Source organism: Homo sapiens, chromosome 17, assembly GCF_000001405.40.
Source record: "Homo sapiens chromosome 17, GRCh38.p14 Primary Assembly".
Taxonomy (NCBI): Eukaryota; Metazoa; Chordata; class Mammalia; order Primates; family Hominidae; genus Homo; species Homo sapiens.
Genome location: NC_000017.11, coordinates 82,694,423 through 82,716,517, shown reverse-complemented (window position 1 = coordinate 82,716,517; position 22,095 = coordinate 82,694,423). Strand labels below are relative to the sequence as shown.

The following is a 22,095-nucleotide window of genomic DNA, read 5'->3' as shown; positions in this document are numbered from 1 at the left end:
TGGGTGGGGGTGAGATGACGTCAGGGGGCGGGGCCTGACCGACCCCGACCCAGACGGTTTGGGTTCAACTCTCCTGCACAAAATAAGTGGAAATGCTGATGGAAATAGTTAGAATATATTTTCTAAAGAGCTGACCCACTAGCAAGGGGCATCAGCCCAAGGTCTGGGTGCCGGGAGCCCAGAATGTTAAGATTGCTTTCGCCCGGGCGTTTGCTGAACCCGAGGAACAGAGCTCCTGATGTGGGGAGTGGCGGGCGCGCTCGGGGTGCACGTGCAACGGAGACACCGCCCCTAAACCTGGGGCCCTGAGGCTAACAGCTAACAGTGGCCCTGCCGTTACGGCCAGTGTCAGGTGCCAGCTGGGCTGGACCAGGAATTCCCAGAAACCTGGCAAGGCATGATTTGGGGTGGGTCGTGCTGAGGGCCACACCATCCGCTTCCCCGCTTCTGAGGCCTTCCGACCTGGGCTGAGCCCGGCTACCCGAGTCCCGGGGTCTCCGGCTCACAGACTTCTCGGCCTCCGTAATTGCAAACGCCAGCTCCCCCAGTCCATCTCCTGTCCTGGATCTACGTCTATATCCTACTGGATCCGTCTCTCTGGAGAACCCTAATACAGCTGTCAACACAAGGATGAACTAACTACAAGAAGGCCTGAATAGGAACTCTCCCAGGGGACGAAGAGGTTTCAGCCTTCAGCAAAGGATGGTTCATAGAAACCGTTCGCATAGTCGGCCCTCCACGGACTGCAACCCTAGTTAATATTACCTACAGTAAACAAAAAATTCAAGTATAGATTTTAGTCTAAAGCAAATAGGAAATGTCGCTTCCCTGGACGTTGGGAGAAGCAAACACGAATCCTCTCCTGAGGCCGGAAGCGGTGGCTCACGCCTGTAATCCCAGCACTTTGGGAGGCTGAGGCGGGCGGATCATTTTATAACTATCTATTAAATGGTACATATGTGTGTGTTCACGCACTTTTCTGTGTGTATACCGCATTTCATAATTTTAAAAAGCAAAAAAGATTAGCGGGGCGTGGTGGCGGGCGCTTGTAATCCCAGATACTCGGGAGGCTGAGGCAGGAGAATCGCTTGAACCCGGGAGGCGGAGGTTGCAGTGAGCTGAGATCCCGCCATTGCACTCCAGCCTGGGTGACAAGAGCAAAACTCCGTCTCAAAAAAAAAAAAGGCAAAAAAGAACAGATGAAAATCCGCAGATGGTAATAGATAAATCAAGGAACACATTAGAGAAGAGTGAGAGAATTAAAAGGTGCTCCAAAGGCGGTGGAGTGGGTGAACCACTCCCTGTATGCTCCTCCCCTCGGGCCAGGGCCTGCGGATGTCCCTGTTTTAATCTGTGGCCTTGACCGTTTGGACATTTTAACTCCATGCCATGAACATGAAGATTTTCATCAGAACTATGCCACCGTTAAGTTTTTGTTGAGAAACTTTTTTTTTTTTTTTTTTGAGATGGAGTCTTGCTCTGTCGCCCAGGCGGGAGTGCAGTGGTGCAATCTCAGCTCACTGCAACCTCTGCCTCCCAGGTTCAAGCGATTCTCCTGCCTTAGCCTCCTGAGTAGCTGGGATTACAGGCGCACACCACCATGACTGGCTAATTTTTGTGTTTTTGTGGAGATGGGGTTTTGCCATGTTGGCCAGGCTGGTCTCAAACTCCTGACCTCAGGCGATCTGCCTGCCTTGGCCTCCCAAAGTGCTGGGATTACAGGCATGAGCCACTGTGCCCGGCCGAGAAAGCATTTTTAGGAGTGACTTTTGGGCCGGGTGCGGTGGCTCACGCCTGAAATCCCAGCACTTTGGGAGGCCGAGGCAGGTGGGTCACAAGGTCAGGAGATCGAGACCGTCTTGGCTTATTCGGTGAAATCCTGTTTCTACTAAAAACACACACACACAAAAAAATTAGCCACACGTGGTGGCAGGCGCCTGTAGTCCCAGCTACTCGGGAGGCTGAGGCAGGAGAATGGCGTGAACCCGGGAGGCGGAGCTTGCAGTGAGCCGAGATCGCACCACTGCTCTCCATTGCACTCCAGCCTGGCAACAGAGCGAGACTCCGTCTCAAAAAAAAAAAAAAAAAAAAAAAGAGTGACTTTTGGCCAGGCACTGTGGCTCACGCCTGTAATCCCAGCTACTCAGGAGGCTGAGGCGGGAGAATCGCTTGAACCCGGGAGGCGGAGGTTGCAGTGAGCCGAGATCGCACCACTGCACTCCAGCCTGGGTAATAGAGTGTGAGACTCCATCTCAAAAAAAAAAGCAAAAAAGAAAAAAAGTGACTTTCATCTAGCTAATTTAATTCCTAACCAATTTTCTTTTTTGTCCATTCAAATGGTTTATAAATGACTTTTTCCATTTTCATTTTCAATTGAATGATATTATCTTCATCATATCAGTTTAAGTTTTCAGTCCATTTTTCCTGTCTACATGGAATTGCCGACTGCACAAAGAACACATGAGGGCTCTCTCAAGGCCATCATTTCCGCGGAGTCCCATTTCCTGACTCAAATGACAAGCTCTCAACTTTCTACTCAAGATCATTGAAACATCTGTGTTGATTATTTGTAACCGGGATATGCTTTATTTATTAGATAAGAGACTAACCGTTGGTGCGTTGATGAGTTCATCCTTGAGATGTTGTGTGTTGTTCTGTGGCTGAGGATGTGGCCGTGGTGTTGCTGGCCCCACACATCTGCGCGTTTCTGGGTCTTGCACACGCACCCACACTGCAGGCCTTCACTCCCGCGTCCTGCTTTGCTCTGTCCTGCTCTTGCTGTCTTTCTCAGACTTTCCGTTCCAGCAGCGTTTTCCTCCTCTGCAAATGAGATTCTCTTCCTGGTGTCCCAAGGTCAACATCCCCAGTAATTCACTCCTCCTGAGGATGGCTCCAACTCGCTTCTCTGCCCACACCTGCCTTGTGCTTGGATGCATGTGCACACAGAGTCCCTGCCTGACTGTCCCCCTTGTGGCAAGCCCCTGGGTCACTCTGCATGTGGCACCCACAGATGGCGGCAGCAGCCTGTCTGGAGCAGTCACTACATAGACATGCGACACCCACAGATGGCGGCGGCCAGTCTGGAGCAGTCTCTGTATAGACATGCGACGCCCACAGATGGCGGCGGCCAGTCCGGAGCAGTCTCTGCGTGGGCACGCGACGCCCACAGATGGCGGCGGCCCGTCTGGAGCAGTCACTGCGTGGGCATGCGACGCCCACAGATGGCGGCGGCCTGTCTGGAGCAGTCTCTGCATGGGCATGCGACGCCCACAGATGGCGGCGGCCTGTCTGCAGCAGTCTCTGCATAGATATGTGACACGCACAGATGGCGGCGGCCTGTCTGGAGCAGTCACTGTCATGACACCAGCAGCAGTGGGGAGGTGGCGCCGGGGCTGCGTGCTCCACGGAGCTGGTGGGAGCCAGGAACAGGCAGAAGCCACCCACCTTCCAAGCCAGCAGGGAGAGAGCCTTGTGCTCCCCAGGTTCAGTGGCAGCTGCCCAGCCATGGTTCCAGATCTGCGCATTCCTTTGCTCTTGGGGGTGGGAGTGGGCAGGAACCCCATCCTCCTGGGTGCAGGTGCAGCTTCCCAACCATGGCTGAGAAGGGGCTGAGGGCAGCTCCTTGGCACAATCAGCCTGGACGCCATAGATGACGGCAGGAGGCAGAGAGGCTCTTGGGTGGAAAGGGGCAGGTCCACAGTGAAGGCCCACCCTGAAGCCAGGGATGGCCTGAAGCCTGGGAGCTGGGCTGAGGGACCAGAATGGGAACTTATAGTGCTTTGTCCAGGCCCACCCATGGCCGCCCATGAACCAGTCAGCATGCACTTCCTCCCCTCTGAAGCCTATGAAAACCCCAGACTCAGCCAGATTTGAGGAGATGACAGGATGACCTGCCTGCAGAGAGGAGCTACCCACTCCAGGGTCCCCCCTCCGCTGAGAGCTGAGCAGATGCTGGAACTACCAGCTGCAGAGAGGAGCTACCTGCTCCAGGCTCCCCTCTCTGCTGAGAGCTGAGCAGACATTGGGACTGCCAGCTGCAGAGAGGAACTACCCATTCCAGGGTCTCCTCTCTTCTGAGAGCTGAACGCTAGCTGGGATGCCCTGCCTGCGGGGAGGAGCTACCCACTGCGAGTCTCCTCTGAGCTGTTCTGTTGCTCAGTAAATTTCCTGCTGGCCTTGCTCACCCTCTACTTGTGCCCATACCTCATTCTTCCTGGATGCAAGACAAGAACTCGTGACCTGCCAAATGGCAGGGCTAAAAGAGCTGTCACACAAACAGGGCTGAAACACGTCCCTTGCTAACAATGTTGTGAGTGACAAGAAGGAGAGAAGAGAGAGGGAGAGAAGAGCTGTGTCCCTTCGGGAAGCCCAGACCTAAGACCTCCCCAGCCAGGCCTGCGACACCGTCTCTGAGGCTCTGCGGCTCCCGGCGTCTCCAAGTTTCTGGGTGCCCCTGCATTCCCCCGTGCCAGCCATGGAACCTGCTCATGGTGCACCTGGTCCAGCTGCAGCCTCGCAGGGAGCCAGCGCCCCCAGTGGCACCCGAAATGGCCCGCTCTACCATAGCCGGTGTGCCTGGCTGTGCGCAGTGGCCAGACCTCACGATTTCTCCCTCACACACCCCTCGCCACTCCATGCCTGGCAGGTGTGAGATTCATACCAGTAGCATGAGCTGAGCACAGCCTGTCAGGCCAAGTGCACTGAATGAGCCCAGTGGGCCTGAGTAAAAACTTGGGCAAAGGTGCGACTGGCCACAGAGGTTTCCAGCTGGCGAAGCAACACCCCAAGGATCCCGTGACATTGCCACCGAGCCTGGTGCCCCCACCCAGAGCCCGGCGCCCCCACGACACCGCCGCAGAGCCTGGTGCACTCAGAAAGTGTCTGCCAGCCAGGTGCAGTGGCTTGTGCCTGTAATCCCAGCAGTTTGGGAGGCCGAGGTGGGCAGATCACCTGAGGTCAGGAGTTCGAGACCAGCCTGGCCAACATGGCGAAACCCTGTCTCTACTAAAAATATAAAAAGTAGCTGGGTGTGGTGGCGGGCACCTATAGTCCCAGCTACTCAGGAGGCTGAGGCAGGAGAATCACCTGAACCCGGAAGGTGGAGGTTGTAGTGAGCTGAGATTGCACCACTACACTCCAGCCTGGGTGACAGAGCGAGAGTCTGTCTCAAAAAAAAAAAAAAAATAGTGTCTGCTGTGCCCAGGATGGCCCAGGGTGGTCGTGGAACTTGTGGCACATTTTCCTCTTGTGGCTCCCTGAGATGCCCAGGATATGCTAATGAGTAGGATGAGTTTGGCTACCGTGCTGCAATCACCAAAAATTAAACAAAACTCTGCGGGCTTGGGTAATGCGCACACCCTGGGTGTTGGAGGGTAACGGGCGCAGAACTGAGGCTCCACCCAACAGCCGATGTCAACTGATATAACTGGGCAGCACCTACGCTGGCAGCGGTAAACACCTCACAGGTGCAAGGAGCCGCTCCCACTCGAGACACGGGGAAACTGAGGCCCAGAGGGGGCCCTGCTGCCCAAACCACTTGGCAACCCGGCTGGGAGGAGTGGAGTCAGGATTCCACCCCAGCCAAATTTCTCACTCCCTCTGACCTCCAAGTATGCAAAATGAAGCCCACAACACTCGCCAGGTGGGACGTGGATTAAAGACACGAACGGACAGAAACAGGTGTTCCCAAGAGGGGGTCAGCCCTAACTAGGGGGCGTAGCTGAGCCGGCAGGAGCCTTTGTGTCCTCCACGTGGCTCCTGTCGGCCTGTGTGGGGTCTGGCCGCCTCAGGGCTGCCCGCAGCCGGTGGAGCCTCTGCAGGGACCTGGGGCCATCTCTTCCCACCAGCCTGCGGCGTCACCTCCATCCTAAGCGAAGCTGCTGTGGTGTTGGGAGGAGCAGATGGGTCCCCCTTGTACCCTGGGGAATGGCCGTGCCTGCTCTGGCTTTGAAAAGTGGCACCTTTTGAAGGGTCCCTGTCCGTCCACCTCCTTCTTGTCCTCCCCTCCAGCGTCCTGCTCCTTCTGGCAGCCCCACCTCACCCTCAGGCGCAGCTGCTGACCTCCCCAGGCAGGGGTCTGGGCTGAGACCAGGGAGCAATACTCCCCCCGCACTCCTTGAAGCTGGTCCTGCTTGAGCCACTCAAAACCCGAGATTCTCCCCACAGCAGGCACATGGGGGAGGCTGCCCATGCAGGCTGCTGCGGGGGCCGTGACCAGGTTAGGAGCTGGCACGGGGCTCAGAACGGGTGGCCTTCGGCCACCAACAACTGCAGCACCGGCTCCAATTGAAGTTTGTACGTTTAGCCTGCATCCCTCCCCCTGACGACTGAGGGGTTTTCAAGCTCTAGAGCCTGAGTGGGAACCCTGGCAGCTCTGAACTGTAGAGCCAGGCGGGAACAGCGGGGTGGTGAGGTCCTGCTGGAACTTTCCAGAACAGAAACGATAGCGCACCCATGTGAGCCCAGACCCATCCCGTCTTCTCTACTCGGGTCCGCCTGGTGTGAACCATCAGGGGCAGAAACCCGGCAGGAGGTGGGGCAAGAACACAAGGACACAAGCCTTAGAGGCTGGACACTCCAAGTGTCCACTGGAGTGTGGTGTGTACACCCAGGGTCTGAGCCTTGGAGGCTGGAGAACAGCTAGCCTGCGGTGTGGATGCCTGGGGTCCAGGACAGGCAGCAGCCATGTGGAGCTGCGGAGGCCCGAGCCACAGCCTGCCCAGGGATCAGCGCTACCCTCCCCAGGTACAGGCCAAGGGGATCTGTGTCCAGCCTTGTGTGAGGCCCTGTCCACCCCAGTCCTCACCCCCAGCTCCTCCGGCCATGCAGGACACGCCCTCCTGGGCTGTTGGAGCCTCATCACCCTGGGATCTGTGAACACACACCTGAGGGGTCTCCTTGGTCCCTCACACTTCCCATGGGCTCACCCGGGCCCACCCAGACCTCCCCTACCTGTCCAGCAGCTACAGCTCCGGCTGCTGAGGGTGGGGATGAGCAGGTGCGGGTAGGGTGTGCAGAGAGGGACCGGGAGAGCATGGCAGGAGAGCAGAGGTGGAATGGGTGGAGCAGAGGGCAGGCATGGGGGCAGTGGGCGGGATGAGTGAAGCAGTGGGTGGGGCAGGTGGAGCAGGGGGTGGGCACGGTGGGGGGGCAGGGGACAGGGGTGGAACACGGGGGCAGGGGTGGGTCATGGGGGCAGAGGGTGGAATGCGGGGTCAGTGGGGTGAGGCATGGTACAGGGGGTGGGGCATGGGGGCAGTGGGTGGGGTCAGGGGTTGTACAGGGGGTGGGGCATGAGGGTCAGTGGGCAGGGTGGGTGGAGCAGGGACCTGGCATGGGGGCAGGAGACAGGGGGTGGAACACCAGGGCAGTGGATGGAGTGGGGGATGGAGCAGGGGGAGGGCATGGGGGCAGTGGGTTGGGTGGGTGGTAAGGGGAGAGGGAACTTGGCAGTAGGCAGGATGGGTGGTAAGGGGGCAGGGCACGGGGGCAGTGGGTGGGGCTGGTGGTAAGGGGGCAGGGCATGGGGGCAGTGGGCAGGGCAGGTGGCAAGGGGGCAGGGCACGGGGGCAGTGGGTGGGGCTGGTGGTAAGGGGGCAGGGCACGGGGGCAGTGGGTGGGGCAGGTGGTAAGGGGGCAGGGCACGGGGGCAGTGGGTGGGGCTGGTGGTAAGGGGGCAGGGCATGGCAGCAGTGGGTGGGGCCATGGGCGGGGCTGTGGCGGGAGCCCTGTGTGAAAATGGGTTTTGTCTTCAGGGCTCTGGTACATCTGGGCCATCCATGAGGTTACAGTTTTGCTTAAGATACGTTTTCTTTCTTTCTTTTCTTTTCTTTTTTTTTTTTTTTTGAGACAGAGTCTTCCTCTGTCGCCCAGGCTGGAGTGCAGTGGTGCGATCTTGGCTCACTGCAACCTCTGCCCCCTGGGTTCGAGCGATTCTCATGCCTCAGCCTCCCGAGTAGCTGGAAATACAGGCACCTGCCACCACGGCCGGATAATTTTTGTATTTTTAGTAGAGACGGGGTTTCACCATCTTGGCCAGGCTGGTCTTGAACTCCTGACCTCGTGATCCACCCGCCTCGGCCTCCCAAAGTGCTCGGATGACAGGCGTGAATCACCGCGCCCGGCCAAAATAGGTTTTCTTTCTATAGCAGAAGAGCAGCTGGCCCCCTGGCTGTGAATGCTTCGTGAGTCATCAGCTAACATACATCCAAACTGCTCAGCTGTTAGTTTCTATTTACTTCTTGACAGCAGAGGAGAGAAAAAAGAAGAGTTAATTGCAATGCTCAAGTGCCTGGCTTTCAGGGAAATATGGTCAGTGTCTTTTTACAGTTCCTCAGTCTATTTTTGTCTAGGCATCAGAGAATGAAACTTAAGAAAGAAATGCTTTCCAATAGTCCGATGGTATAAAAATGTCACATTATGTAAAAAAATTCCTTGTGTATTGCCTAGAGGTGGCAGGTGTTCCTCCTTGCCTCCACCTACCACAGCAGGGCCCCCCAAGCCCCACAACCATGCTGTAGGCCAGAGACCGCCGACTGATGCGGCAAAACACCCACTGCAGGGCAAACTGCAGAATGAGTTCTTGCTGCAAAAACACAACCCACGTCTGGCAGTTCCTCAAACCATCGAACGGAGAGCTACCGCATGATCCAGCAATTCTACTCCTACGTATATGCCCAGGAGAAATTCAAACACACATCCACGCAGAGGCTCGTATACAGTGTTCACAGCAGCTCAACCTACAGTGGCCAAGAGACGAAGCCACTCAAGTGTCCATCAAGGAAAGAACGGATGGACACCATGCGGCATTTCCATACAATGATATTATTCAGCCAGGGCCGAGCACAGTGGTTCATGCCTGCCATCCCAGCACTTTGGGAGGCCGAGGCAGGTGGATCATGATGTCAGGAGTTTGAGATCAGCCTGGCCAAGATGACGAAACCCTGTCTCTACTAAAAATACAAAAATTAGCCCGGCCTGGTAGCACGTTCCTGTAATCCCAGCTACTCGGGAGGCTGAGGCAGGAGAATCACTTGAACCCGGGAGGCAGAGGTTGCAGTGAGCCAAGATCACGCCACTGCACTCCAGCCTGAGTGACAGAGCGAGACTCCGTCTCAAAAAAGAAAAAAAAGAAAGAAAGAAAAAATAATTACAAAAAATTATCAGGGCATGGTGGCACGTGCCTGTAATCCCAGCTACTTGGGAAGCTGAGGCAGGAGAATCTCTTGAACTCGAGAGATGGAGGCTGTAGTGAGTCAAGATTGTGCCATTGCACTCCAGCCTGGGCAACAGAGCGAGACTCCGTCTCAAAAAAAAAAAAAAAAAAAAAAGGGAGTCCTTCTTCTTTTTTTTTTTTTTTTTGAGACAGAGTCCTGTTCTGTCTCCCAGGCTGGAGTGCAATGGCGTGATCTCGGCCCACTGCAACCTCTGCCTTCTGTGTTCAAGTGATTCTCCTGCCTCGGCCTCCGGAGTAGCTGGGATTACAGGCATGAGCCACCACACCCAGCTAATTTTTGTATTTTTAGTAGAGATGGGGTTTCACCATGTTGGCCAGGATGGGCTTGAACTCCTGACTTCAAGTGATCTGCCCACTTTGGCCTCCCAAAGCGCTGAGATTCCAGGCCTGAGCCACTGCGCCCAGCCCTAAAACGTAGGCGCTTCTGACGCACGCTACAACACGGATGAAACTGGAGGGCATTATGCTCAGTGAAATAAGCCAGCCACAGAAAGACAATACTGTGTCATTCCACTTATACGAGGTCCCTAGAGTTGTCAAATCTGTAGAGACAGGACGTAAATGATGTTGTAGGGGTCAGGGGAGGACGGAGAGCTGACATTTGGTGGGACCGAGGTTCTGTCTGGGGAGATGGAGAAGACCTGGAGATGGAGGGTGGTGACGGCTGCGCCGCGGTGTGAATGTGCTTGATGCCCCTGGACGCTGCACTGGAAAAGGGTGATAGTAAGTTTCATGTCGCCTACATTTTACCACCATTTAAAGATCCAAACAGGCCGGGCACAGTGGCTCATGCCTGTAATCCCGGCACTTTGGCAAGCCAAGGCAGGTAGATCACTTGAGGTCAGGAGTTCGAGACCAGCCTGGCCAACACAGAGAAAACCTGTCTCTACTAAAAATACAAAAATTAGCCGGGTGTGGTGGCTCATGCCTGTAATCCCAGCTACTTGGGAGGCCGAGGCAGGAGAATCACTTGAACACAGGAGGCAGAGGTTGCGGTGGGCCGAGATCGCGCCATTGCACTCCAGCCTGGGAGACAGAGCGAGACTCCATCTCAAAATAAATAAAATAAAATAAAAACCAAACAAGGCTGGGGCTGCGCTGCAGTGCTGACCAGCTCCAGCGAGGGAGGCCGAGGCAGGACAGTGACCAGCACGGTTTCTCTGAGTCCCTGTTTCCTCAGGCAGCAGCAGGAATGATAACCTCCACCTCTCAGGGTTTCTGGGAGGCGAACGTGGGTGAACCTCGGATGCCCTGAGATGGTCACTACCCGTCGGCCCCAGGCCGGATGCTTCTGGATCCTCCCTTGCCCCCAGCCCCGCTGTCCCCGTGGCCATCCTCTCCACTGCATGCTGGGCTACGGCAGACACCCCGGCCCGGTGGACACAGCAGTCACAGCTGCCCAGGAGATGCCGGCGGGAGCCACCAGGACGGAGCCCAACCTTGGGAACACGCCTTGCAGTGTGGGGACAGGATGAGGCTCTCGGGAGAGAGGCTGCCACATGGAAATCAAATTTCTGTCAACCAGTGCTCTTCAACTGTTGGGAAGGGCAGCACCCCCCACTTTGACAATTCTGGGAGCATTTCTGATTGTTGTAGGAGGTGGCAGTGTTGCTGGCATCTAACGTACGGGGGCCAGGACACTGCCCAACACCCCACAGTGCTCAGGTGCACCCCAACCAAGAACCCTCGGCCCCACGCATCCACGGGCTGGGTTGGAGACACCCTCGCTTAGTGCTGAGGGCCATCCAAGGGCCCCTGGACCAGAGGCCGAGGGACAGCCGCACCCACCTCCCTGCCCAGGCTCTAATGGGGTGGGCTCCACATTCCACAACTTGCTTCCACCCTCGGTGGTGCCCAGGTCCCCCCCCCACCATGGGCCCTATTGTGGACCAAATGTTTGTGTGCCCCCAGATTAATCTACTGGAACTGTACCTGCAAAGTGATAGTCTTTTATGGACCAAATGTTTGTGTGCCCCCAGATTAATCCACTGGAACTCTACCTGCAAAGTGATAGTCTTTGAAGATGGGGACTTTGGGCTCCCGTCTTTGGACTCTGCAGCTGCAGACCAGTCCTGCATCCTCACTGTCCCCGATCCACACCTGCAGGGCCAGATGGCCCATGGCAACGAGAATGACGGAGCCACTTCTTCCAGGGTTCCACCGACTCAAGACCAGCTCAGACCCATCCCCATGCACAGCGCGCCCTGCCTGGCTCCGAGGGGTGGGAGGTGGTTCATTAAGAGGCTGCACGGTGGTGAGCACGAGACGGGAGTGAAGAGGTTTGGGTCGGGGATTTGGGTTGTCCTGAGGACAGACCACCCACCTGCCTGAGCCCCCCATTTCCTATGAGTGCAGGACTCATTCCTATGAGTGTAGGAATGCTGAGGGGCATGTCGGGATGACAGGCAGGGTCGGGGGAGTGTCCCAGGAAAGGCCCGAGGCTGCACATCTCAGCCCTCACTGACCCAGCACGTCCGGCCTCAGCTGTGTCTGGAAACGCGCCGGATGCCTGCAGAGAGCCCACACTCCCCTGGGCATGGTCGTGGTCTCAAGTTGTTAGAACGTCACCCTCACATAAATGGGAGGTGAACGCACGTTAGGTTCACCCGGGTCATGAGTGGGGGGCCCGGAAAGACTCAGGAGCTGGCTGGAGACGTTCCTGAAAGCCCCGATTCTGCAGCCGGTGGAAGCAGCAGTGACACAGAATTGCTAAGTCAGACGCCAGGCTGCTGGGTCCACAGGACCAAAACCGCTGGGCCAGGCAGGGTCACGTTTTCCGTTTTCTACAAGTTCACTACAAACCTTCCAGGGCTGCACAGTCAGTGTGGAGGAGAAGTCAAAGTTCACTCCCCGGGGAGGTGTGGCAGCATTGCCCTGTGGTCAGCCCCGCCCTGGAGGCGACAGGTGTGTCCACTGATGGTTCTGATGGGACCAGGGCAGAGGGGCTTCCTGCCGGAGCTGTCGACCCCCGGGTGGAGTCCTGAAGGACCCAGGGGCGCTGACCCAGTGAGAAGGGCCACGCACGTGCAAAACGGGGGCCTGGTTTTTTCAGGTGCTGGAGTGGCATGGAGTATTCCAGAAACACATCGTCTGGTGTCCTCAGCAAAACAGCTGAGAAGAGCAGACGTGGGCTGTGCCCTCACATGGGGCAGGAGCAGAACACAACAGGGCCATGAGCTCAGCGGTGCCAGGAGGCGCAGCCAGTGTGAGTAGGGCACGTGGGCTCCGCCGGACTGCAGTAGAGGTGGGGGTGTGAAGAGGTCAGGTGAGGGTTGGGTAGGGGTCAGGTGGGGGTCGGATAAGAGTGGAGGATTGGGTGAGAGTCAGGTTGGAGGTGCAGGTCGGGTGGGGTCAGGTGAGGGGTGAGGATAGAGTGAGAGGTGGGGGTCAGGTTTGAGGTGGGGGTGTGAAGAGGTCAGGTGAGGGTTGGGTGGGGGTCGAGTGGGGGTTGGGTGAGAGGTGGGGGTCGAGTGAGAGGTGGGAGTTGGGTGGGGGTTGGGTGAGAGGTATGGTGAGAGGTGGGGGTTGAGCGGGGGTCAGGTTTGAGGTGAGGGTCAGGTGGGGGTCAGGTTTGAGGTGGGGTTTGGGGGGAGTCAGGTGAGACAATAAGGTGGGGCCTGAGGGGTCTCAAGGGTGGATGGAGAAGCGCCCCAAGCACTCATCCTGGGTCTCTTATGTCCCAGCCACGGCCAGCAGCCATCCCCGAACCCTCCCTGCTGTGCCCAAAGGGCAGAGCCAGTGCCCGGGGCCCTCACCCGCTGGGAAGACCAGAGACCACAGGGCTGGAAGGCGGACGCAGGCTTCCCCTATGAGCACTCGGAAGGCACGTGCTGTCTCCCGTCGGGGGTGGGCGCTGGTGCAGCCATGTTTGGAGAGATCCCCTCCCACTTAGTTCTCAAAGTGGGGTTCCTGGAGCTGTAGCATCACCACCATCTGTAACCACGTTGCAAATGCAGATTCCTGGGCCCCCAGTGCTGAATGGGAGCCTCTGGGTGTGGCCGCTGTGCCCTGCTCCAGCGTGGGAACCACTGGCGGGGGGCTCTGCTTCTGAAGGGAAGAGGGGACTGTGTGAGGGGCAGCGGTGCAGGGGTCCCGTAGTGCAGGGGAGAGCAGAGAGGGGCCTGGCGACGGCCTCTGCCTCGCCCACCAGCCTCATCCAGCTGTGACCTTGTTGCCTCTGCCCCCGCTGGCCCTCCCGGCTGGAAGCTGCGTCATCTGCTGGGGTTTCAGTTCCGTGCGCTCAGAGGACGCACTAAGATGCAGAGATGCGGGGCCCCAAGCATGATGAGACCCCCAATGTAGTTGATTCACCCGGAGGTGGGCACTGATCCCCACTGGGGAATTCCCTTATATGGGAATTTGGGGATCAGACCTGAGAGTGAGTGAGGCCGTTCTCTCTCCAAGGGGTGAAACCTGGGGGCCATGTTTTCTCCTGTGAGGAGGGAGCCCCTCTGCAGCGACAGGAAGACCAGCGGGCACCGTGGGAGGAACAAAGGCGGCAGGTGGGCCGGCCTCGCCGGCACTGGGTCCCTGGCTCAGCTACTTCCAGGCCGGCCACACCTGGCCCTTCCCACAGCACAGCCGGTCAGCCCTTCCCAGCTCACAGGAGACACTCCCAACCATCCTTCCATAAAATCGACATCGTGCTTAGGCTGGTTCAAGTTGCATTTCCACTGTTTGCACATCACAGACGGAACTATTTTAAAAATGAAAAACATGTTAGCCTTCAAGCTAAATTTGGAAGAAGAAAAAAGAAAAATGCCCCCTCCCTGTGCCCCCTCCGTGGGAAAATGCTGAAATAGATATTATGTGAATTACTGAGGCTGGTTTAACTTCCAGCAACAGAAAATCCATCTGGAGGTGGCACCAGGGAGCTGCTCTGTATCACAGGACAGGAGGCTCGTGGGTGGGCCCACAGTGCCCAGACGCTGAGAGGAGACTTGGAGTCTGCGTTCCTGTTTGCGAACCCCCAGCAGACGCCCTCACATCTCACTGCTGGAGTCTCCTCGTGGGCCACACCTACATGGTCACAGGCAGGAGTTGGCAGGAGCACAGGCATGGCTCAGAGCAGCAGTTTTCACAGTGGGGCCCATGGGCCCCCACAGGTCTCTGAGACCCTTTCATGGTCCTATTGGATTAGAGCCCACCCTACGGACCTCCTCCTAACCTGATTACATCTGCAAAGACCAAAGTATTTCCAACTAAGGTCACAGTCACAGCTTCCAGAGGGTGTGATTTCAATAAATCTTTTTAGGGACTCCATTCAACCCAGACAACCAAAACTTCATACGTGGTGAACCTTTGTCTCCTGTTTTCTCACGACTGCAGACAAGCCTAAACAAGATGACTTTTTTTTTTTTGAGACGGAGTCTCGCTCTCTCACCCCAGCTGGAGTGCAGTGGCACGATCTTGGCTCACTGCAAGCTCCGCCTCCCTGTTTCACGCCATTCTTCTGACTCCCAAATAGCTGGGACTACAGGCGCCTGCCACCACGCCCGGCTAATTTTTTTGTATTTTTAGTAGAGACGGGGTTTCACCGTGTTAGCCAGGATAGTCTCGATCTCCTGAACTCGTGATCCACCCGCCTTGGCCTCCCAAAGTGCTGGGATTACAGGCTTGAGCCACCGCGCCCGGCCTTTTTTTTTTTTTTTTTAAGATAGCATCTCACTCTGTTGCCCAGGCCGGAGTCCAGTGGTGTGACAGCGGCTCACTACAACCTCTGCCTCCTGGGTTCAAGCAATTCTCCTGCCTCAGCCTCCTGAGTAGCTGGGACTACAGGCTAGCGCCACCGTGCTCAGCTAATTTTTGTATTTTTAGTAGAGATGGGGTTTTGCTACGTTAACCAGGCTGGTCTCGAACTCCTGACCTCAAGTGATCCACCCACCTTGGCTTCCCAAAGTGCTGGGATTACAAGCATGAGCCACCACGCCCGGCCTCACCTCCACCTTCTGATGACATTTTACTCGTGGAGAAGCATCAGTAAATGTTCCTTTCATTCCTTCTGCCCACAGAGGCCTAGTCTCCAGAGCAGCCCCAGATCATGGGTGGGTGGATGTTCAAGGAGATTTCAGCGTGGCCACAGGGAGGAATGTTCCGATGATCCGAGATGGACAGGTCTGGAAGCCTGGCTCTGAGTTGGGCAGAAGGTAGGCTAGTGCTGTCCAGACACCTCCACCCTCTGCCTGGACTTTACACATGTACTGAAACTGGGGAGGAGGAAGAGGTATCCCACCACAGGACTGTCCCTCAGGAAACTGGGGGCCCTGGTGGGAGGAAACCTGCTTTGGCTGTAGAAATAAACACCTCTGTTTGGTGAAAGCAATGTTTGGGGCAAGAAGATGGACACCATATCTGAACACAGCCCTCTTCTGACGTGGTTATTTTACCTGGCCCTCCAGGTGGGAGTGGCCATGTTCCAGCTCAGCCAAGGCCAGCTTGGAGGTGACAACTAGGAGGTGGTGAGGACCTTCTGTGGGGCAGGAGAAGAGCAGACAAGGGCTCCCCCATCACCTGTCCTCTGTAGGAAGTGGTCTGGCCACCCCTCTCCATGCCCCACCGTGAACACTGCTGGACTGCTGGGTGTGACCCCGAGGGTGGGCTGGGGGCCTCCTGACCCCTATTGTACAGTGAGTCTGGATGTGTAGGTGGGGAGCGAGCAAAAGAAGGTACCCTTTCCTCACTAGGTAATAGCCATGTGACCCACAGCTGATTGGAACATGGAGACTGAGGGTTAGGGATGGGAAGGAAACTCCCCTGAATTCTTTTTGGCAGAGTGGTGGGGCTGGGGACTAAATGCCATCTTTCTCATAGTTTTCTAGCGTCCACCTTCCATCCTCTTTTCTTCCTCTGACCTTCCTTCTAAAAAAAAACAGTGCTGCAATCCCAGCATTTTGGGAGGCCGAGGTCGATCACTTGAGGTCAGGAGTCAAAGACCAGCCTGGCCAACATGGCAAAATCCCATCTCTACTAAAAATGCAAAAATTAGCTGGGTGTGGTGGCACATGCCTGTAATCCTAGCTACTTGGGAGGCTTGAATCCAGGAGGTGGAAGTTGCAGTGAGCCAAGATTACATCACTGCACTCCAGCCTGGGCAACAGAGCAAGACTCTGTCTCAAAAAAAAAAAAATGTGGCTGCATTAGTAACTAAAGCAACTAATCAACCAATGAATAACAGGTGTTGCAAACTAAATTGGCATTCCAAAGTAAACATTTTCTAGGTCCAAATGAATGCAAATGACAAATATAATAATCTTGACTTCAGTCTCTTTTGTAATTCTTCTTCCGCTCCCTCTTCTGTTCCTCCCCCACAAAAAACTTCTAATGGGGTCTAGAGCAGTTCCCTACACAACGCAGGGTGGAGGGGATGAAGTAGTGGGGGCATTATCCTTCTTCTTGGACGGAGCTCGCCCTTTGCCTGCTGCCTGAATTCTGCACCAAATAAACCAATGTGCACCTGGTGAGACCCTCAGAGCGAAGGGCAGACCTCGGCCTGGCAACCCTTGCTCTCTAGAGCAGAGGAGAAGCCAAAAGGCTGGAGGGTCCCACCCAATGCTCTCCTCCAGCACGCACGCAAACACATGCATGGATGCACAAACAAGCGCACGCACACATAGGAGCGCATGCATAGAAGCAGCACACGCAGACACACACATGCAAAGATGCCTGCAAAGGCACACATGCACACGCACATACATGTGCAGACACCTGCAGAGGCACACATGCACACGCAGACACACAGATGTGCAGACATCTGCAGAGGGACACATGCACACGCACATACATGTGCAGACACCTGCAGAGGGACACATGCACACGCAGACACATAGATGTGCAGACACCTGCAGAGGGACACATGCACACGCAGACACATACATGTGCAGATATCTGCAGAGGCACACATGCACACGCAGACATGCACACACACGAACACATGCACACGTACACAGGCGCATGTGCACACACAGGCATTCAGGCACGCCGCGTAAATGGGGCAACGACGAGGCCCTGGATGAACCGTGGGGAGAGACCGCGAGCCTGGATTCTACGGCGACAGGGACTCCTCCGGCGAGGCGGCCTGCGGGGGCCTTCCGGCCGCGTCCGCCAACTGGACCGACCCCGAGCCCCACCCGGCCAGGCACCCGAGGTCTCCCTGGTGGGCAGGTGGGGAGGCCCCACGCTGGGACCCTGCACCGCCCCTCGCCCCTCCCGACTCGGGGCGTGCAGACCCGACGACCGTGGGAGCGAGTTCGTGGCGCTCACGGGCGCACGCGAGAGTGTAAACACCCGGCCCCACCCCCTGATCGCCCCCACCCCGCCCCGCCATTGGCTGCGGGAGCAGAGTCCCCGCCTCCTGCTTGTTCTGGCTCCGCCCCTGCCCCGTCTCCGGGCCTCCATTGGCTGTGGTGACAGCGACCTTTCAGGAGGGGCGGGTGGGCGACAGCCCGGAGGCGGTGACGAGAGTAAGATGGACGGACAACCAAGCCAGTGAAAGCGCGCAGCTGCCCTAGCAACTGCGGTCCACCAATGGCGGGGCCGGGCGGGGATGCGCGCTGTCAGCGCTGGGCGGCGGGGCGGGGCCGGAGGCGAGCAAGGACTCGGGGCCCGCGCGGCGCCTCTCGGGGCCGGGCCGCCGCCTCTGCGCTCAGCCCCGCAGGCCGGGCATGGGTGGGGGCGCCGGGCCGTCACGATGAGCGCCCTGGGCAGCCCGGTCCGGGCCTACGACTTTCTGCTCAAGTTCCTGCTGGTGGGCGACAGCGACGTGGGCAAGGGCGAGATCCTGGCGAGCCTGCAGGATGGCGCGGCCGAGTCCCCGTACGGCCACCCGGCGGGTGAGCGCGGGCGGAGGGCGTGCCGGGGTGCGGGCGCGGGGCCGGGGAGGGGCGCGGGGCTGGGGAGGGGGTGCGGGTGGGGGTCCGGGTCCGGGGACGCGAGACCGGGCAGGGGTCGGGAAGAGGCCGGGGCGCGTGGCCGGGGAGGGTAGGAGTCCCGGTCCGGGGGCGCGGGGCTGAGGAGGAGCGCGGTTCGCGGGCGGGCCTTTCTCCGCCCGGCCCTGGCCCTCGTGCTGCGGCGTCCCTGTTGCACCCCCAGTTCCACTCGAGGCCCCGCGGCGCAGTCTCCATCCTTCTCCGCAGTCTGCGCGCAGCGGGAGCCCGCGGCTGGGCCGGGCGCTGGGCTCCTCCCGACCTGGGGCCGCTGCTGTGGGGACCCGGGGCGGGGGCTCGAGTCCGCAAGTGCGCGTTCGGCCGCGGGGCAGGAGGGGCGGGAGGGGACGCGAGCTCCGGGGCTCCTGGGGCGGAGCGCGGCGAGCAGGCGCCCAGGTGCTGGGTCTGCGCGTGGGTCGGAGGGGAGGGGAGACCAGGGTCCGGTCCCGAGGCCAGGGGTCCCGCGTGTCCGGGGGAGAGGAAGGAGCACAGGTGACTCGCGTGCGGAAGAGGGGACCCCCCACGACAGCGGCCGGAGAGCGGGTTCCAGGGCGAGGGGAGGCCGGAGCGCCCAGAGCTCCCAGGCAGGCAGCCCGGGGATCCCCCAAGTTTGAGGCTTGAAAGCCGGCGCCCGGCGAGGGGGTGGACGGCTCCGGGGAAAGAAAGGCGGGGGCAGGAACCCAGGAGAAGGGGGAACGCGCAGAGGCGAACACCTCGGCTGGGAGTGAGGAGCAGGCGGGGCCTTCACCCACGCGCATCCCTGGAACAGCTTGGACGAGGCCGACCCTGAGGCTGTGGAAGGAGCCCAGCCTGTGCCCACCTTCCTGCCGCGCCTCGGGGCTGAACCCACGCTTCCAACAGAGACCCGCTCTGAGTCCTGGGCGGAGGAGGGCAGCCGGGCGTGGAGATGGAGTCTTGGTGGGAAGGACCTGTCAGCTCTGGGGCCTGGGAAGGGTCTGGGAAGCCCCAGGTCCAGGGTCCTGCCAGAGACGAACTTAGCGGGAGAGGGTGGGAGGAAGCGGGATCTGAGGCTGCTCGGTAGAGGGTGCAGGCTGTCCCCTAAGGGCAGCTCCAGGCAGGCGGCGTGAGCACCAAGGGAGTGTGGCACGGCTGGAGGGGGTGGCCTGAGACTGTGGAGCGTGGGGTGGGACTCAGGTGCCCGGCCACACCTCAGCTTAGGGGACGGGGTGAGGAATGGGCAGAGTTTGGGGGAGCAGCTGAGATGGGCTTGGGCTCACGACCAGCACCCAGAGGCCTCCTGAAACTGCAGCATGCGGGGGAGTCTCTGGCAGCTGGTGGGTGCAGAGTGTGCTCCGTGGGGCAGGAGGGGAGCCTGCGTCTCTACCTGTCCCCAGGCGCCGCTGCCCCCGCATGTCCTACCCCCCTCCCCGCTCGGTGGCAGGTCTCTAGGACCGTGGTGTCCAGTAGGATGCCATGAGCCACGTGTGGCTGTGGAAGTGTAATTAGAAGGAAAGAAAACAAAAAGCTTCCATTCGTCACATTTCTAGATAGTTCGGATGTCGCTGTGGCAAAGTCCGAGGGCCAGCGCTGCCCTGGAGATTGAGCGCCTGGAGGACAGGGCTGGAGATTGAGCGCCTGGAGGACAGGGCTGGAGATTGAGCGCCTGGAGGACAGGGCTGGAGATTGAGCGCCTGGAGGACAGGGCTGGAGATTGAGCGCCTGGAGGACAGGGCTGGAGATTGAGCGCCTGGAGGACAGGGCTGGAGATTGAGCGCCTGGAGGACAGGGCTGGAGATTGAGCGCCTGGAGGACAGGGCTGGAGATTGAGCGCCTGGAGGACAGGGCTTTGTCTGCACTGTGCCCTCGGGGTCTGGGCTCAGTGAGGGATGAACCCTACCAGAGCTACAGGAATAAAGCACCCAACAACGTGTACGCCCAGACGAATATGGCGCTTTAAGAGCTGTGCGTGTTTTGGGGGAGCAGACGGTTGACAGTGTTGAGTTTGATTGAAGGTGAGTGCCGTGGGGCGTGTGTGAGAAGGGTCACGCACAGAATGTTTGTGAAACTTCCTTCTGGTTGGTTTGAATGGAGGCTCGGGGATGCTTCTGCTGCGTGACTTTTGGTTGCTACATGCCGAACTGAGGACGAACCAAAACAATGGTCCAATGCTTTGTAATAAAGGCTTTCCCTTGACACGGAGGGAGGATTTAGGCTAAAAATACACCTCCCACCGGGCCGGGGGCGGTGGCTCACACCTGTAATCCCGGCTTTGGGAGGCCAAGGCGGGCGGATCACCTGAGGTCAGGGGTTCGAGACCAGCCTGATCAACATGGAGAAACCCTGTCTCTACTATAAATACAAAAATTAGCCGAGCATGGTGTCACATGTCTGTAATCCCAGCTACTCGGGAGGCTGAGGCAGGAGAATTGCTTGAACCCGGGAGGCGGAGGTTGCAGAGATCGCACCATTGTACTCCAGCCTGGGCAACAAGAGCGAAATTCTGTCTTAAAAAAAAAATCCCATCAAGAGCTTTATTGTCTACTTGGCCTGAGCTGCTGTAGAAAAAACTGATATCACGGGTGTACCCTTGCAGGTTTTTGATTTACCAAATATTTGTTTTAGAGTTAAGAAAAGATATTCTGAAAAATAGTAAGAAGTTGAGATCATTATGTTTTGTTTTTTATTTTTTCAGAGACAGGGTCTTCTCTGCCGCCCAGGCTGGAGTGCAGTGGTGTGATTGCAGATCACTGCAGCCTTGACCCTCCTGGGTTCAAGCCATCCTCCTTTTTTGGCCTCCTCAAATGCTGAGATTATAGGCCTGAGCCACAGCACCTGGCCATGTTTTTTTTTTTTTTTAATGACATGTTTCGCTGAGAAACACTATAGGTGCTTGTTATTGAAAGGTGAGGGCAGCCGGGCGCAGTGGCTCACAGCTGTAATCCCAGCACTTGGGGAGGCCAAGGTGGGCGGGTCATGAGGTCAGGAGTTTGAGACCAGCCTGGTCAACATGGTGAAACCCTATCTCTACTAAAAATACAAAAATTAGCTGGGCGTGGTGCCGCGTGCCTGTAATCCCAGCTACTTGGGAGGCTGAGGCAGGAGAATCGCTGGAACCCAGGAGGTGGAGGGTGAAGTGAGCTGAGATCACACCATTGCACTCCAGCCCAGCGACAGAGTGAGATTTTGTCTCGAAAAAAAAAAAAGAAAGAAAGAAAGAAAGAAAGATGAGGGCGTTCGTAACTCCACACTCCATTTCCCTCCACCCAATTCCTCCTGAGTTTTGTAGCCCAGGCTGTTATTTTTATATTGTCCAGGTTTATAGCCCTTGCTTCTGTATTGTGGCTGTAGTGCCCGCAATGATTTAGTATCAATTCAACATTTAAATACAGTCAGTGCTCACCAAAGTCCTTTTACCATTTATGTCTCTGTTCATTGTGCTGTCCCTCTTAATCACCTAGATTTCATTATCAGTCGTTTTTTCAGAAGGACTCGAGTATTTCCTGAGTGTTTTTTTGTGTCTGAGAATGTCTGCCCATGGTCTTTATCTTTGAACAATGTAGAGATATCTTGGCTGGGTATAATACTCTTAGATTTATTTTCTTCCCCAACACTTTGCAGCTGTCATTCCACCATCCCCTGGCTCACATGTGCTGTGGGGAAGCCTGAGGTCAGCTGATTTTTCCCCATGTGGAGGCTTGTCCTTCCCTTCATGAATTTCTGAGGAATTCTTTCTTTTTGTCTCATAGTTCTTCTGCTTAACCAGACCATGTCTCAGAGTTGAATGTTTGTGTTAAACTTTTAGTATGAACGTACTCTTTGAGTTTCCAGGTGTGTGTGTGTATGTGTGTGTGTATGTATTTTTTTTTTCTTAGATGTAGTCTCAATCTGTTGCCCAGGTTGGAGTGCAGTGGTGTGATCTCACCTCACTGCAACCTCCACCTCCCAGGTTCAAGTGATTCGCCTGCTTCAACCTCCCAG

The 22,095-nt window shown here is 57.2% G+C and overlaps 1 protein-coding gene and 2 long non-coding RNA genes across 5 annotated transcripts in view, besides 5 other annotated features; 2 read left to right on the top strand and 1 right to left on the bottom strand.

The window, feature by feature from the left end:
• LOC101929552 (uncharacterized) lies at positions 265 to 2,610 on the top strand. The gene is made up of 2 exons (NR_136400.1): positions 265 to 951; positions 2,402 to 2,610. It is a non-coding gene; the product is annotated as an uncharacterized LOC101929552 (long non-coding RNA).
• Positions 2,762 to 3,261: an enhancer, noted in NCBI's record as "H3K4me1 hESC enhancer chr17:80671133-80671632 (GRCh37/hg19 assembly coordinates)". NCBI's record gives its function as "activates a minimal SCP1, AML or CMV promoter by ChIP-STARR-seq in naive H9 embryonic stem cells {active_cell/tissue: H9 hESC(naive)}" and the evidence as "EXISTENCE:reporter gene assay evidence [ECO:0000049][PMID:30033119]".
• Positions 11,830 to 12,631: an enhancer, noted in NCBI's record as "H3K4me1 hESC enhancer chr17:80661763-80662564 (GRCh37/hg19 assembly coordinates)". NCBI's record gives its function as "activates a minimal SCP1, AML or CMV promoter by ChIP-STARR-seq in primed H9 embryonic stem cells {active_cell/tissue: H9 hESC(primed)}" and the evidence as "EXISTENCE:reporter gene assay evidence [ECO:0000049][PMID:30033119]".
• On the bottom strand, positions 12,384 to 13,694 carry LOC124904093 (uncharacterized). The gene is made up of 3 exons (XR_007065963.1): positions 13,608 to 13,694; positions 12,991 to 13,282; positions 12,384 to 12,468 (listed from the first exon to the last, which is right to left on the bottom strand). It is a non-coding gene; the product is annotated as an uncharacterized LOC124904093 (long non-coding RNA).
• Positions 12,739 to 13,938: an enhancer, noted in NCBI's record as "CDK7 strongly-dependent group 2 enhancer chr17:80660456-80661655 (GRCh37/hg19 assembly coordinates)". NCBI's record gives its function as "activates an origin of replication core promoter dependent on BRD2, BRD4, P300/CBP, MED14 and CDK7 cofactors, with strong dependence on CDK7, by STARR-seq in HCT116 cells {active_cell/tissue: HCT116}" and the evidence as "EXISTENCE:reporter gene assay evidence [ECO:0000049][PMID:35650434]".
• Positions 17,252 to 17,641: a silencer, noted in NCBI's record as "silent region_9224". NCBI's record gives its function as "represses an Ori minimal core promoter by ATAC-STARR-seq in GM12878 lymphoblastoid cells {active_cell/tissue: GM12878}" and the evidence as "EXISTENCE:reporter gene assay evidence [ECO:0000049][PMID:35858748]".
• Positions 17,662 to 18,091: a silencer, noted in NCBI's record as "silent region_9223". NCBI's record gives its function as "represses an Ori minimal core promoter by ATAC-STARR-seq in GM12878 lymphoblastoid cells {active_cell/tissue: GM12878}" and the evidence as "EXISTENCE:reporter gene assay evidence [ECO:0000049][PMID:35858748]".
• RAB40B (RAB40B, member RAS oncogene family) overlaps positions 17,820 to 22,095 on the top strand; it is a 43,726-nt gene continuing 39,450 nt past the window's right edge. For 2 of the 3 annotated variants that reach the window (NM_006822.3, XM_047435172.1), the window contains exon 1: positions 17,820 to 18,063. In NM_006822.3, the coding sequence (NP_006813.1) occupies positions 17,922 to 18,063 (142 nt within the window). In that variant the 5' untranslated portion in view covers positions 17,820 to 17,921. Of the gene's footprint in view, positions 18,064 to 19,664; positions 20,130 to 22,095 lie in introns of those variants that run through there. The other variant, XM_017024042.2, reaches the window with a different exon arrangement.